The 16,243-nt window shown below is 34.3% G+C and overlaps 1 protein-coding gene across 17 annotated transcripts in view; it reads right to left on the reverse strand.

Moving 5' to 3' along the window:
- DMD (dystrophin) overlaps positions 1–16,243 on the reverse strand; it is a 2,220,167-nt gene that overhangs the window by 1,324,753 nt on the left and 879,171 nt on the right. For all 17 annotated transcript variants that reach the window (XM_006724469.4, NM_000109.4, XM_011545467.2 and 14 more), the window contains 2 exon segments: positions 10,688–10,858; positions 4,482–4,664 (listed from right to left, as the gene is read on the reverse strand). In XM_006724469.4, coding sequence (XP_006724532.1) covers positions 4,482–4,664; positions 10,688–10,858 — 354 coding nt within the window.

Below are 16,243 nucleotides of genomic sequence, written 5' to 3' on the forward strand. Positions count from 1 at the left end.
TATAGAACCTCAGGTGTGAGAAAGAAAAAGAGGGAAATGAAAGTAGAAAGTGGAAAATCAAGCTTATAAAAATACTGGCGTATCAGAACAGGGTATACGACATCAAAGCTGGGGCATTTAACACTAACTTGAGATGGGAAATGAGGCAAGCCAGGGAAATGGGAAAGAATGAAGCAGTGTGCCATCCACCCTGTAAGGAAGAAGTAGAACATCCCTAGCCATTGGAATATTATGATTTAGCAAGGAAACTATTGTTGGGGGATTTTGGGCTGAAAAATAAAGATCCACCCATAACAAACGGAAACTTAAGCTTGTATCACACATGAGGGCAGAGCATAAAATCTCTACAATCCTGATGGCAACAATACAAAAACTCAATAGCCCAGAGAAAAAAAAAGACAAAAATTCCAGTAAAGGCAATTCCTATTATAGATGAGCTCGCAAATAAACAAATAAACAAACAAAAACCTTACTAGCCACATGGGGAAATTCACTTCCATTAGAGGGAGTCATTAGTTGTAACAAATGGTAGAATCCATACCTTATGACATAAAGATAATAGAACAATTTTGGAGAACTGTACAATAAATATGCCTAGCCTCATGGTGTATGTTTCCCATAGAGTTTATTTGCTTGAGACTGGCAAGTGGAATTCACACCTAAGAAAAAGGGCTTGGTTGCCTACATTTCATTTTGGGAGATCATCTCTTTCTTGTTTTCACAAGCCCTGGTTTAAACAGAGAGAGCTGACGGAGACTTGAGGGGAGTGAGGTGAAGAGAGTTTGAATAGTTAGGCAATTCTTCTTTCTCACCCTTTTATGGGGATAGGTAGGGTAAACTCATCTGAATCATTTTATTTACAGGATCTAAAACAAAACCACTCATCTACTGGGTGGATATATTCAGGAAGGGGTGGTTGGTATTCATTTCCTGTTGAGCTGTTGGTATGGCCAAGAAGGAATCAAAAACAACTCTTTCAAACTTCTCATTCCTGAAAGGTACGGAGTATAGGTACTTCCAGTGCCCATAGGCTCTGAGTTGAGATATGGTAGGTAAATTAGACTCCAGGGCATCACTAAAGCATTGGTTAAAAAGACATAATATTCAAGAGCAGTTTGTGTAAAGCTGTTGACAAGCGTCAGCTTGAAATTCTTGTTAAACACTACGAGGTACTATAAAAGCCTAGGAGATCTTTTTTGGGGGGTTCAAAGCTCATATGAATAAGGCCAATCTGGATCCTCAACAGAGCGAATCAAGTCTATAGAGAACGAGCCAGGTCAGTGGTGATAATATATAGAAGAGGGACAACAGACTAGGCATTATAGATGTGTGTGGGTTTTAACAAAAGGGAACAGCAGTTGTGAGCAGCAAAAAAAGGACTTTCACATGAAGAGAGTATTTTTCCCTCTTCACCCTCCCTTATATCGACAGTAGATCTGTATCCAGAAACTGGGATGGAGGAGGAGACTGTGAGACCATTTATTCTCACTCCTGCGTCTGTATAAATTGCTGAAGCAACAGATTAATCTAAACTTGTGAAATATTTGATTAAGTTATGATATTTAAATTTAAATTAGAGTACATTTTAATAACTAAAAGTGAATAAAAAGTAATGAGATCCCAGAGAAATATTGTTAAAGAAGCCAACTACCAGGCAGAAGGTGAAATTTGACAGAGTTGGGTGTAGTTATTGGAAAAATAAGACGGTGTCATGTTTATTACTCATTAAGTTGAAACATTTCAGTCAAACAGATGGTATCTGTTTAAGTTGTTTAAAGGAATACATAGAATTAATCACAAAAAAGAAGAAAACCATAACAAAGAACAGATTTGTGAAACAACTCAATAAAATATTGAGAAATGGAAAATATGTTTTTTGAAAAAATATAAACACACATACATAAATGTAGAGAGATAAATATATATACAGACAAAGATGAGACTATTTCTCTATTGAAGGATAAATTACGCCACAGGCAGCTGAAGCGAGAATTTGAGAGTTGGAAGACAGATTTTAGAAAAGTATCCAAAATTGAGCAGATAGAGATAAGAATATAGAAAATATTAAAGGGAAACCAGTAACTGGAATATAAGAAGGGGATAGTCTTAATAGCTCTAAGAAAGTTTTCCCTTAGGAAGGAATGAAGAGATTGGGAAAAAGAAAATCTTCACAAAGACAATGCAGAACCACTAAAGAAATAACGTATCTGTTCTAATTAACACACCAGGTGACAAAGTATAAATGAAAGCAAATTTACACACAGACAAAGTTGAGTGAAACTGTAGAAGACAAAATAGGGTGAAACTGCAGAGCAGACAGGACGAAGAGAAAATTTAAAGGTACCAGAGAAAATGATAAAGAAACAATAACTTGACAGCAGATTTCCTAAAGGCAAAAAATTTCAAAAGACAAATAATATTTTCAGTGTTGTAGGAAAAAAAAAAACCTGTCCTTACATAATTTCCTGCTCAACTGCATCATTATCCAATACTCAGGGCAAAATAAAGGCATTTTCAATATGTAAAATCTGAACACATTTGCTACTCACACTCAAGGAAAGAGCAAGAAAGAAACTGAACACAGAAGCAAAGGGAAGAACAAAAGGCAAAACTGATCACAAAAACTGGGAAAATAGCATCGGTAAATCTAAATAAATATTATATGAAATAGTTAAAACAACAGCAGCAGCAACAGCAATTATATGGACTAATTTGGGGGAAATAAGGTGAAAATGAAATATGAGGCAACAATAACGCGGAAAACGGAAGAGGTAGGTTCAGAGTTAAACTATGCTAATGTTTCCACCATATTATTGTTAGAGAGGTATAGAGAAATATTTATAAGATAAAATAAAGTACATATTCCAAACCAGTGAAAAAGGACTAAAATGGAACTCAATAATTTGATAACTTCAATATGAATAGGGAATGTTAGAAATGTTATTATACATGAGAAGGAAATGGAAAAATAATCCAATAATTGGTCTTGAAAAGTTTGTTATTAATACGAAAACTTAAGAAAATCCCTTCGGAAAATGTACTCCAATATAAATTTCTAATGAATCACGGAGTATCATTTAAATGAACAACATGAATAATAGGGAACAATGATGCTTATTTAAGGACATTAAGAACATAAGAAAGTAATAGTAGGTGTTTTATTTAAACATTGTCAGAAAGCATTTCCTGGGTACAAAAAGTCCCTCCCTATTGTAACATGTTAGTGAATTAATTGTGGTTTTCTTGAGACATGTACAGTGCCATCAGATCCCTTCCCTTCCCATTCTTTGTTATATTTTATATAGCACTCACATAACACTGATACATAAGATACGTCATTATATCCTCAGAAACTGTAATATTTCCTGACATATAGAAGGCACTTTTCAAGAGTCTGAGGAGTGAATTGCATTTAAAAGAAAAGAATAAGGATGAGTAAAGAAGAGCTTAGAACTGATAATGGAGAAACTCGGATCACATTTTACAATTGGAAAATGATAATACTGTATTGGGAATATATGGGGTACTTTAGCTACAAATACATTTTAAAATATTTTTAAAGGTGTACTTTATTATTGATCTGAATCGTATCTTTCTTTAAATATCAAACCCTCAACATAGGAAGCAAACTAAATAATGTTTTTCAAAAGTAAAGAGGTACCTGAACACTTTATTAACCATATTCACCAAAATAACTCAGTCTGTGTGAGGGAAGGGGGCTTAAAGTCCAACTCATGTGCAATGTCTGGCAGCATCAGCATTTGTAGTGGATAAAGTTTTGTGCCCCTTGGCACAGTATTTTCATAAGAAAGGTCATAGCTTATTTTTGATGCAATTACATGGCCATCATTTGAGGCACCTGCTTTCTTTATCTAAATTCAGATAAGCATAATCTAGACAGTAAGGCCCATCCATAAAAGTTAAAGCAGAAGTTGTGATAATACATAAATATAATGCAAACCATCAAAAAATATAGAGCTGGTTAGGTAACATGTCTAACAAAGAACTCTATGGGGCACGGCAATTACTAAAGACAATTGTAGTAAAAACATACTTCTCTACAGAATGCTTTTCCCCAAAGATACTTAAATAAGTTTATGTACATACAAAAATAAGAAAAAATAAAGATCATTGTCTATAAATCTGGAGAAAATTTATAGGATTTTATGACCTAATAATAGTAATGAGAATTAGAAGCATAGCTACTCACATATATTGAGTACTAGGCTAAGTAGTTTAAAGAGAATAGCTCATTTAATTTTCTCAACAACTTATGAATTATGTATTATGTCTAGTTGACAGATTGAAAACAGGTTTACACAAGTTAAGCAAATGGCCCAAAGTCATACAACTTATAAGTGCCTGAATGAGGAATTCAAGCCAAAGTTGTTTTGCACTGGTATCCATGTTCTTAACCACTATGCCTCACATATGACCATGTATTGACATATCATTGACAAAGACCAAGAAAAGCAACTGACTTCCAAAGTCTTGCATTTCCCATTCAGCCTAGTGCAGAGCCACTGGTAGTTGGTGGTTAGAGTTTCAAGTTCCTTTTTTAAGGCCTCTTGTGCTACAGGTGGAGCTTGAGCTATGACACTATTTACAGACTCAGTAAGGAGTTTCACTTTCGCTTCTTTTTGTTGGGCCTCTTCTTTAGCTCTCTGAAAAATAAAGAATGCTCTCTTAATAGCATGAAAATAACTTTACATCCAAAATGCATTTCTATGAATCATATAATTTCTTTCTCACAACATCCCAGTTAGAATGAGAATTACAAAAATAAATCTAATATGAACTCCAGTCTCTTCCATAAATTTAAGTTTAGTTGAAATTGGAAAGTTAAAGAAATAATTTATTATAAGAATACAACAGATCTGTAACAAGAATAGACTGAAAAGTAGTCTGCATGGAGGTATGGATTTGTGGTCAAATATATACACATTGATATAAATACAATTGTTTGGAAAAGGCAAGAAACAAATATTTCAATATTAACTAGGTTAAAAAATATTTGGCAGTCTAGAATTGAAATCACTTATAAATTACTTGGATGAATAATATTGAAACCATCACAAATATCATTATTTAAGTTAAAGGATACTTAACATAGAAAGGTCCCCTTGATGCTATATTTAGGAACATATTTTGATAAAAGAAAGTTTCGTTCGAGAATTGAAAACACATGAGAGAAAGAGAAACCAAAAAAGGAGCTGCTGATATCAGAAGCTGGCCTGACACCCAGCTATGCCTTGGTCTTCTCAAGTGGAAAATAAACTGTTTCACAGAATTTCAACATTGGAAAAGGCCACTTTGTTTCCATAATGGATCAAGACCATGACAAGATCATTCCATAATCATGTCTGAATCCAGACAAAAACATCAACATTACCCAAACCACAAAACGCCCAACACTCTCCTATCCTGGTTAATATGAACGAACGCCGTTTCTTTATTAATTGCAACTTTAGCCTCATTCTGGTCTTCTCTCCTTCTGGACAAGATACGATACCCATATAGCTATCCCTACACACTAATGACAAGCAATCCAAAGTAAAGCTTTTAAACCCTCCCTCAAATCCCCTAACACAAGCACAAATCCTACAATGTTTTTTTTTTTTTTCATCCACACGCACCCCCTGGCCTCCATGTTGTGTATTCTCCCTCATTGCAAAAAATAATGAACCCAACTTGTTCAGCTACAAGAGAGTTGGTGGTGGTCTTCGGTTGGGAGACATTTACACTCCTTAACTTCAAATGCGTACATGTATTTTAGAAACACACACACATACACACTGTATCTTTAGTCTGTGTTCCTCCAGGGGTCAAACCTGACATTAGCTTTCAAATATAAGTAGTTTATTTATGTGTGCCATGTAAAAGAAATTCTGGTAGCTGAATGGGGAATTGAGACAAGAAAGGGAAGAGACATCCATATGGGCATACTTATTAATCCCAGCAAACACTGTTAATGACTAGAGTTTAATCCTGTTAGAAAGCCCTGAGAAATATATGCCTGCGGGTTATCCCATTCAGGGGTGAAGAAATTGGGGTATTATTTCTGTATCATCTTCCCTAATTGTTAAAGGCTGTTGGGGAAATGTTAATTTCCCAGTACTTGCAAGCCTACCACACAAGTGCAAAAGTGGGATTCAGTGGCCACAGAAAGCCCTCAAGTAAAGGAACTCAGGTTCTATAATGTAGAAGTTGGGCCTGCATACAATGCGGTGGTTAAGGTAAGGGCTTATTGGCAGGATATGGATAAGGTCAGCTATAAAATGCCTTTGTATGTGTCAGCATAATCACCCTACTCCTTTGGATTTAGTCCCACAATTCCTTAAAAGTATGCATTATGTCAGAAAATGCAAATTGTTTTGTCTATAGAATGCTTAACTTCACCGATTTTAATTGATTGAAATCTTTAGTTCAATATTCTAAATAAATCAGCTTTTTGGCATCACTGAGCATAGAGATTGTTTTTACACAAATTGCATTTTGACTTTAGTAATTATAGTATAATCAACAAGTTTGATTACCATTCATCATTTAATATGTGCTACTGTGTTCTGTGCCAGCCATGTCATAAGTGCTACCTCATTAGATCTTTACCCAAACCTTCTCGGATGTGTTTTGTTACCTCTATATTGGACATTAGAAAACTGAGGTTCAGAGAGTTTAAGGAAATCATCCTCAGAGTTATATCCTCTCTTTCTCATAGTTTCTGTTAAGCGGGTCTCAAATGTTCCATGAGCTGAAGAAGGAGCATGCTGTAGTCAGTCTAATGAATAAAATTACAATTTATGCTCATTATAAATAACCCAAGCAACTATATAAAAATGTAGAATGAAGAACACTTCTTTCCATGGTTTTTAGACTTCATATATTCTTGGTTTAATAAGAGGCTCAGATCTTGGGAAAGGTTCGAAGAACAAACAGCAAAATTTATTAATCCAGGTACATATGAGGAAAGAAGATGATGATGAATTTCTCTACTAGGAGAAAAGGTAGAAAGCTAAATGACTGGTACAGTTTCTATACAAATCCTCATAAAAACGGTGGCTCTTGTTTCTTTCCATGAATCTAACTATGATATGCTCTGCCATCTTTCATTGCTAGGATTTCACACCCGTGCTTCTTAAAGTGAGCACCCTTGGAATCACTCTGCAACTTGTTCTTTGGTATCAAACTCAAACTTGTTAAAAATGAAAAACTACAGGCCTCACCCAAGACTCACTGAATCAGAAATTCTGGGGTCAGGGCCCAGCACTCTGTGTATTAAACAAGACTTCCAGGTGATTCTGATGTCCATTCAGATGCAGGAATCACTGCTGTAGTGATTATACAAATTTATTTGTGTATTTACTATTCTCACTTTATGTGTAAGTTCTGGTAAGCACTAGTACTAGAGTTATAATAGAGTAAAAATTAAAAAAAAATAAAACCAGTTAATAACTTTCCAGAGTGTTTTTCAAAGGGTTTTAGTATAAAGTTTTACCATATAGTGATTGCTGATCTCCATAAAAGTTTTAAAGTCAGAGGTTGTTTATCAAACTGTACCCTGGGTTCTTTTATGTCAAAAAAACTTTCCTTTTCAGGGGAAAAATAAGTTATTAAAACAGCACTTCCATTTTCAGGTAAAACACAGGAAAGAACATAAACAGAAGGGGGGGTCTCTATTTCTTCTTTGAGTATCAGGGAGAGATGTCAAAATAGGTCTGTTAGTATCTTCTGACAATAAAGAAAAATTAGCTATCAAATGAGCACAGGTAGAAGTCTGGACAAGGTACTATTGCTAACCTCCAGGTAGTGAAGTTGCCTTAAAGAAACTGTCTTGAGTAGCAGGCTGAAAACTCAAGAAATGAAATCTTCCTGCCAACTCTTCCAGTGGTTGTTGCCAGAGGCTTCCAGAGTTTACCTCTTTTTACTATCACCCCCATACTAAACCAATTTTGTAGCTAGACCAATTATCAAAACATGTCAATCAATGTAGACAAATTTGTTGGAACACTCATTTCAAGGATGGTTTTCAAATTTTAAAAATTTGAGACAGTTTACTCTAGAGCACAGGAAAATAAGAGAGATCTGACTGGGTTGTTGGTGACATAGGCAAATCGCTCATAGGGAGAGGGAAGAGGGCCAGAAGAGGCACTGAACCAAAGGAACCCAGGGATAATCAGAGCAGCTGAACACAAATGACTCTATAGTATCTACTTACGGATCTGAGGTAGTGGCCATATATAAATAGACGCAGTGAGAAAGGAATTGAGATACAAGAGAAAAGGCCATATGAGTGACACACAATGGAAAAGAAAGGAAAGGAAAAGGAAAGGGAAAGTGAAAGTGAAAGTGAAAGTGAAAGTGAAAGGGAAAGGGAAAGGGAAAGGGAAAGGGAAAGGGAAAGGGAAAGGGAAAGGGAAAGGGAAGGGAAAGGAAAGGGAAAGGGAAAGGGAAAGGGAAAGGGAAAGGGAAAGGAAAGGAAAGGAAAGGAAAGGAAAGGAAAGGAAAGGAAAGGAAAGGAAAGGAAAGGAAAGGAAAGGAAAGGAAAGGAAAAAAGAGATGAAATAGAATAAAATACCTTCAATCCTGTGGGCTCTACCACAAATAAAGTCTGTGACTATGGCTAAATCATTTGACCTATCTGGGAATTGCAGTTTTCTGATAAGCAGAGAGAGAAGTGTGAATTACACAAGTTTCAAAGTACCTTCTAGCTCTCACATTCTGATAAAGTTTTCCTCAGGGGTGACCTCCCCAAAGTCAAATTTTAAATTATTTTGGTCTTTTGAAATACTCCAATGGTTTTTCTTGTCCATTTAGAATAAAAACTGTGATACTCTAACAAAACCCGTTTGTTAACAGATATTTGCCCACCTCCTAAGACTTATCTGAGGTAATTTTATCCCATTTTCCTTCCTTCAGGCAGATTTCTTTCTCTTCCCAATTAGCTTCAGGGTCTTTGCAGAAGCTATGCTCTCTGAATAGAATGTGTTTCCATAAAGATTTTTTTAAGTGGTTGGCTTTTCCTTATGATTCAGTTCTCTCATATTACATACAATTCTTCATAAATGCTCTATAAGTCAAGTTTTTCTAAAATAGCATCCTACCACCCTCAAATCCTGCCTGAACATTATTCATTCTTGATTTCAAAATCCATGTTTACTTCTAGGCAAATTATCATGATTTCATTTATTTTTCCATTTATTGCCTGCTCCTCACCACACGCTAGAACACTAGAATGTAAATTCCAAGGCAGTGGTCTTGCTCACCACCCTCTATATTCAGTAGCCAGAGGGTGTTTGGCACACAGTAAGTATGCAATAAGTTTTAGTTGATAAATATGCTATTGCTAGATTAGAATAATTCTGTGTTTTTAATACTCTAGAAATGATTATACTAATTTTTTCTTCATTATAGTTTTATACACACATAATATTTATACATATTTATGGAGTATATTAGATATTTACTTTCAACATTTGACTAAAGCCGTATGACAGATTCGATATTTAAACATCTGAGTTTTCATGTGAGTTACTTTCTGCTATTAACTATAATAGATATTTCTGAATTACCATTTAATTATATAATTTTTTACCATGTGGCCCTTTCACAATTAAAATAATAAATAATGAGTCATGGTCATTTATACTGTGCTAGGCATTGTGTTAGAAATTTCATATTTCATCCCTCTAATGATTCTGAAAGCAGACATTCTGATACCCAGTTCACAAACGAAGGAATTTGGCTCAGTAAGCTCATGTAACTCACCCCAATTTATACAGTTGGCATGGGGCCGAACTAAGTTTTAAACTCAAGTATCTGGCTCCACATTGATTTTTCCTTGTCACAATCCTTGAACCAAAAAAAGATCTACAGTATTAATATTTCAAGTCATTCTCTAAGTTCTTGCTAGCACATAAAAATAATAATTATGATTATAGCTACTAATTGAGCACCAACTCTGAGTTAGGCAATTTACTCACATGGTAGTTACAATCAACAGTTCATACATTCAAGTGAGGAAGTATGATGATATAAACATGATAAAACAGAGGATTATATTGACTATTATATTGTTGCCCAAGGCCATACGAAATGCCACTATGTAGGTTCAAGTCCAGGCTTCACCTCCAAATCCATACTACATACTACATACCAGTTTCCTTCGTAATAAGTCAATGTTATATTTTGTCCTATTGTTTCAAGAAAAGTACATGTAAACTCAGTCCTTTCTATCCATATTAAAGGCTACGGGTTCAAATATTTAGTGTTTCCAAATTCTCAGAAATGCCTTCAAACTACCAAATTAACACAGTTTGTTGACTACATTATAAATTTGTCTTTTCAAGAATACTTTTGCACAGTTTCAACGTACATTTACATCAGCTACAGACAGTTAATGAAATGAGTTGATTCTGCTCTCTTAATACTACATGATTTCAAGGGAAAATTGTTTCAAATTGTGATTTTCAATTTTCATAATTGACCACAATGCATTAAAATTAAACAGTTTAAGGTTGTTAAAATGTATATTAAACTTGAAGCTAAATTAAAATTATTAATTAAAAATCAACCTCTTCTCTTAGAACCAGGAAAGAGCAGACTGTATACAACTTCAAGCATTGTTGCATTTCTTTCTTTTTCCATTTATTTCCTTTGTTTTACTTAGTTTTTCTTTTTTTTTTTTTACCTTCATCTCTTCAACTGCTTTCTGTAATTCATCTGGAGTTTTATATTCAAAATCTCTCTCAAGATACTCTTCTTCAGCTTGTGTCATCCATTCGTGCATCTCTGATAGATCTTTCTGGAGGCTTACAGTTTTCTCCAAACCTCCCTTCAAGGCCTCCTTTCTGGCATAGACCTTCCACAAAACAAACAAACAAAACACGATTATTGACAGTGATGAAACATTATTATTATATTATTTCATCAGTATGTAAATAACAGAAAGCTTAGATAGTAATGATAAAGAAGTAAAAAGCTTATATGCATAAGAAAATAACTCATGGGGATCAGATACACTCAATTTCCCATAAGTGTGAAAATAAGACATGTCTGTTTATTTGGCATACTTAATAAAATGAACGTATTGCCCGATGATGATAATTCAGCTGTTTGTGTGACAATGCTTTTCTGTGAATGGAGAAAAACAAGGCTTTTTAAAATAATATGTTTCAGTTGGAAAAGTAATTTTATTGGCATACATAGAAATAGTTATTCTTTGTGTTCTTTCATAATGTTTTACTATTTTAAATATTCTAAGAACTTCATAATCATGTATCTACAGAAACTCTCATAAATTAAAAAGAAAAAACGAAAAGTGCATAAAACGTAGTTTGGCAATTCACAAAGAAGATAATATATGGCAATACATGTATATAAAAGATGTTCTAATACCATTTATAGTTAAATGATTGCAAATCGAAGTGAATTAATGCATTTTCACATGTTAAGACAGGGAAAAATAATAATTAATAAAGAGCCCATTTTGGGCAGGGATGTGGGAAAATCAAAGTTTTTATACTTGTTGAGGGAAATATCCAACATAATACAACCTTTTAGATAGTAAGATGGCAAAACATATAAAAATGTTAATGTCCACGAATCTGAGTCAACTGCTCCATTTTTTGAGAGTGAATCATGCCAACCAAAGTGTAGAGACTAACATGTACAATATTTAATTCAGCTTTAAAGACCAAACATCTTGAAAACAAACCCAAAGGTGCTTTCATGAGAGATTAAATTATGACATATATATACTATGGGATACTGTGCATCACAAATACATCTTTACTGAAATGAAAAGTGGCTCAATATAAAGTTTTACGTGTAAAATGCAAGTTGCAAAAGAGTCTGTCTGTGGTTATAGAAAACATCTGCTATTTAAAGCCTCACGCATTTTTGAAAACTAAAACTTTCTACAATGGACTCCATTACTCATTAACCAGAAAAATGCAAAACTTAAAACATCTAAAAGAAAATCATACACCTTGTTACAAGGCACTCTATAGTATTACAATCATTATACATAGTGCTTTTACTTTAAAAAGTAACTCTATTCAAAAGATGGTATTCTTCTCTCTGGTTGAAACAACATTATACATTTTAAGTAACAGAGTTTTCATAGTATTAATATATAATGCACAGTTTTAGTAAAATGAAGTGTTCATGGTACTTTGCCCAATAGTAAATATGTGTAGAATCACTATCGCATTGATTTTCCTTATAATTTACAACCATTTTGAGCCTAATATAGATAATACTTCATTTTAGGTTCTTTACTTACCTAGGTAAATGTAGTACTTGATCTACTACAATGTAAATAAATGTTTCACCCTAACACATCTAGAACAATATGTCTTGCAATTGTACTAGAAAAGGTATAAATGTTATTTTGTGCAGTCAATGAACCTATAATAAACTTAAGAAAACATGCTGCTATTTTTGCTATTTTATAAATTAAGAAATCCTGCTGCTAAATTTCTACTTAGAAACTCTGCTCTGTTATAATCTTTTAAGGCAGTTGGTGAAGCTACAAAAATATTAGAGGGACTAATGGAATTCAGCCAAGACTTCTAGTAAAAACTATACATTCACATACATACTTTGTGTGTGTGTGTGTGTGTGTGTGTGTGTGTGTGTGTGTATGTGTGTGTGTGTGTGCACGTGCTCAAGTATGGTGAGATATTGTTGGATCCTGGAAATTTTGAAGGCAAAAACGACAGCATTTGGTGATAGATTTGATGTTCGGCTGTAAGAGAAATATAGGAGACAAGAAAATCTCGTGGGATTTGGCTTGAATAAGTGGAAAGATGGAGGTGCCATTTGTAATAACAGGCAAATTTCTAGGGTAGTAGACTGGGGTATACATCAGGAATTTTGTTTTAACATGTTAGATTTAATATGCCTATTATTAATTGATGTGGAGGTGTTGAGTGGGCAAATGGGTATGCAGGTCTAGGATCATTAGAAAGGGTCCAGATTGTTAAAAAAAAAAAAAAAAAAAACTTACAGCAGGAACAACTTACAGATTACATTTAAAACTATGGAGCTTGATAAGTTGACCCGGAGAGTGGGTGGTAATAGGGGGAAAAAAAAAAGGAGTCCACAGACTGAGCCCTGGAACACTTTCAAATTTAGTGGTCAGGGCAATAGAACCACCAAGGATATTGACAGTGGTCAGGGAAAACTAAGAGATAATTAAGAAAGAATGATGACACAGAAGCCAACTGAATTTAGCGATTTAGTAATACGAATTCACTGATGACCCTGACAAAATCTGCTTTAATAGAATAGTGAGGATAACAGTTTGATTAGCTCTCTTAATTGGCATCAAGAGAGAAGGGAAGGAGTGAAATGGAGAGAAAGGAATGTCTGTAAAGGGAAACGGGAATGGAGAGGTTGCTAGAGAGATTGTTGTCCAATTGAGGATTCTTTTAAATGACAGGAGATATTACAGAATAATTCTCTACTGATGGGAATGATGGGAATGATGTAGCGTGGAGAAGATGTAGGAGGTAGAGGGCTGTTCATTAGCTGTTACAATGTCCTTGTGCAGAGACAAGGGAAAGGGATCCAGGTACGTAAGTGGAAAAGCTGGCCTTAGACAAAAGCACAGAAAGTTCATCTATGTAAACAAAGGGAAAGTAGAGTCTGTGAGCTTATATGCAGGTCAGTGGGAGTACTGCAACTTCTATTCTGATTGCTTATATTTTCTCGGTAAAACAAGAAGCTAGTTTTTTGCAGAAAGATGGAAAAACAGACTGTTAGAGATCTGACGAAAGAGATCTGGGGATCACTACACCCAAAGAGTATACTGACCCAGAGAAAGACAATGATCTGCAAGCTGGCAGAAAGACATCCACGTAACCTCTAAATCCCATTTATTGATAACTATTTACTATAAATTTAAAGCCACTAATAATTAAAATATATAACCATATATTATTTACTTAGAAAGTATACATGTTTTATAATTCTATATATGTAGGTTTCTATTTGTTTTCTATCTAACAAACATGTACAGTGATTAATCTAGGTTAGATGAGGCTCTATACACCTTGAAAAGATGAATTCATTTAATTATTATATACTTATGAATTATGTATTAATATCATCACATTTTAAAGATTGGGAGACTCAAGCACAAAAAGGTTAAACAACTTTTCTAGAATCACACAGGCAGTTTATGATGTGGATAGACTTAAACCCAGGCGATCTGATCTCAGAGCTTCTGGTCTTACACACTGTGCCTTTCCATCCACAAAAAAAATATTCTCCAGTATTTGACCGCGTGTGTCTGGTTTATTTCACTTAGCATACTATCCTCCAAGTTCATCTATGCTGCTGCAAATGGAAGAATTTTCTTTTTTAAAGCTACATAATATTCCGTTATATGCATATACCATGTTTTATTTATTTGACAATATACATTTAGATTGTTTCCATGTCTTGGCTATTGTAAATATTGCTGCTGTAAACATAGGGGTGCAGATACCTCCTTGAGATCCTGATTTTATTTCCTTTGGATATATATCCAGAAGCGGGATTGGTGAATCAAATGGGAATTCTATTTGTAATTTTTTGAGGAACCTCCAAACTGTTCTCCCAAATGGCTGCACCAATTTACATTCCAACCAACACCATAAAAGAATTCCCTTTTCTCCACATTCTTGCCAACACTTAGTATCTTTTGCTTTGTTTTGTTCTGATAATAGCCACCCTAACAGGTATGAAGAGGTTCTTGTGGCTTTTAACTGCATTTTTCAGATGATTAGTGATGCACCTTTTCATATACCTGTTGGTCATTTCTACGTATTCTTTAGAGAAATGACTATTCAAGTCCTGTGCTCATTTTTAATCAGGTTATTTTTCAGTTTTATTTTTGCTATTGAATTTTAGAAGTTCCTTATATATTTTGGATATTAATCATTTGCCAGACATATGATTTGTGAATATTTCCTTCCATTCCCTAGAATCTAAAATAGTCAAACTCACAGAACTAGAGAGTAGAATAGTGGTTTCCAAAGGCTGAGAGAGGGGAAAATGGCAAAATGATGCCCAAAGGATACAAAGCTTCAGTTATGCAAGATGAATTAGCTCTGCAGATCTACTGTACAACATTGGGCCTATAGTTAAAAATACTGTATTGTTAAAAATATTCCAAGAGGATAGATCTTAGGAGCTCTTATCACAAAACAAAAAAAATAAATAAATTAAGGGGCAGAAGGAAACTTTTGGAGGTGATAGGTAAGTTTATCATCTTGAATGTGGTAATAAGTCTCATGGGTATACGCTTATCCCCAAACTAATCAAGTTGTATAAATTAAATATGTACAGCTTTTGGTATGTCAGTCATACCTCAACAAAGTGGTTTAAACAAAAATAGATTCTCTTCCATCTCTAAGAGTTTACGAATTATCCAATTTGACCAAGCATTTTAGGGATGGGAGCATGGGGAAATCTTCTCAATAGGCAAGAAACAGTATCTTATATACATGTTATCTTTATTTTTATGTACCTCGTTTATATGCCCAGTTTGAAAAGTGTACTTGACTTCCAGATACATGTCTGATTGTCTTTTTCTCCGAAATAAATATGGCTAAGATGGAACCGCTAGTCACTCTAGTAAGCTATTCCATTTTGTTCTTCTCTTAGTACCCACTCTTTCTTTAAAATCACAATGACCTACAATGTAGCTCATAACAGAAATATATCTGAAAACACTTTGATTCTTCCCTCATTCTTCCTCTAGACTATCAACAAACACTCTCCTTCAGCAAGTACTGCCAGATCTAATGGGATCTGTTAAAAAGAATAAAGGAATGTGTCATGTTAGGATAGGAATAATACTTCTGGGTAGATGTAAGTGTGAAAGTCCTCATCAAAAATGTAATGAGGATACTAATCCTCTGTTGGATGAGTAGTTTGCAAATATTTTTTCCCATTCTGTGGATTGTCTTTTCATTCTGTTTACTGTTTCCTTTGCTGTGCAGAAGCTAGAAACTCAGATATCATAAAAAGAAAAATAACGATTTTATGATATAAAACATCATATCATATGTGGATGTGATGGGATTCAAAAATGGGCAAATAATCTGAACAGTTATTTCCAAAAGAAGAAAAAAATGGCCAATTAATATATGAAAAAAAAATTCCACATCGGTAATCATCAAATAAATGCAAACCAAAACCACAATGAGGTATCACCTCACCCCAGCTAGGATGTATATTGCCAAAAAGACAA

Source organism: Homo sapiens, chromosome X (assembly GCF_000001405.40).
Source record: "Homo sapiens chromosome X, GRCh38.p14 Primary Assembly".
Taxonomy (NCBI): domain Eukaryota; kingdom Metazoa; phylum Chordata; class Mammalia; order Primates; family Hominidae; genus Homo; species Homo sapiens.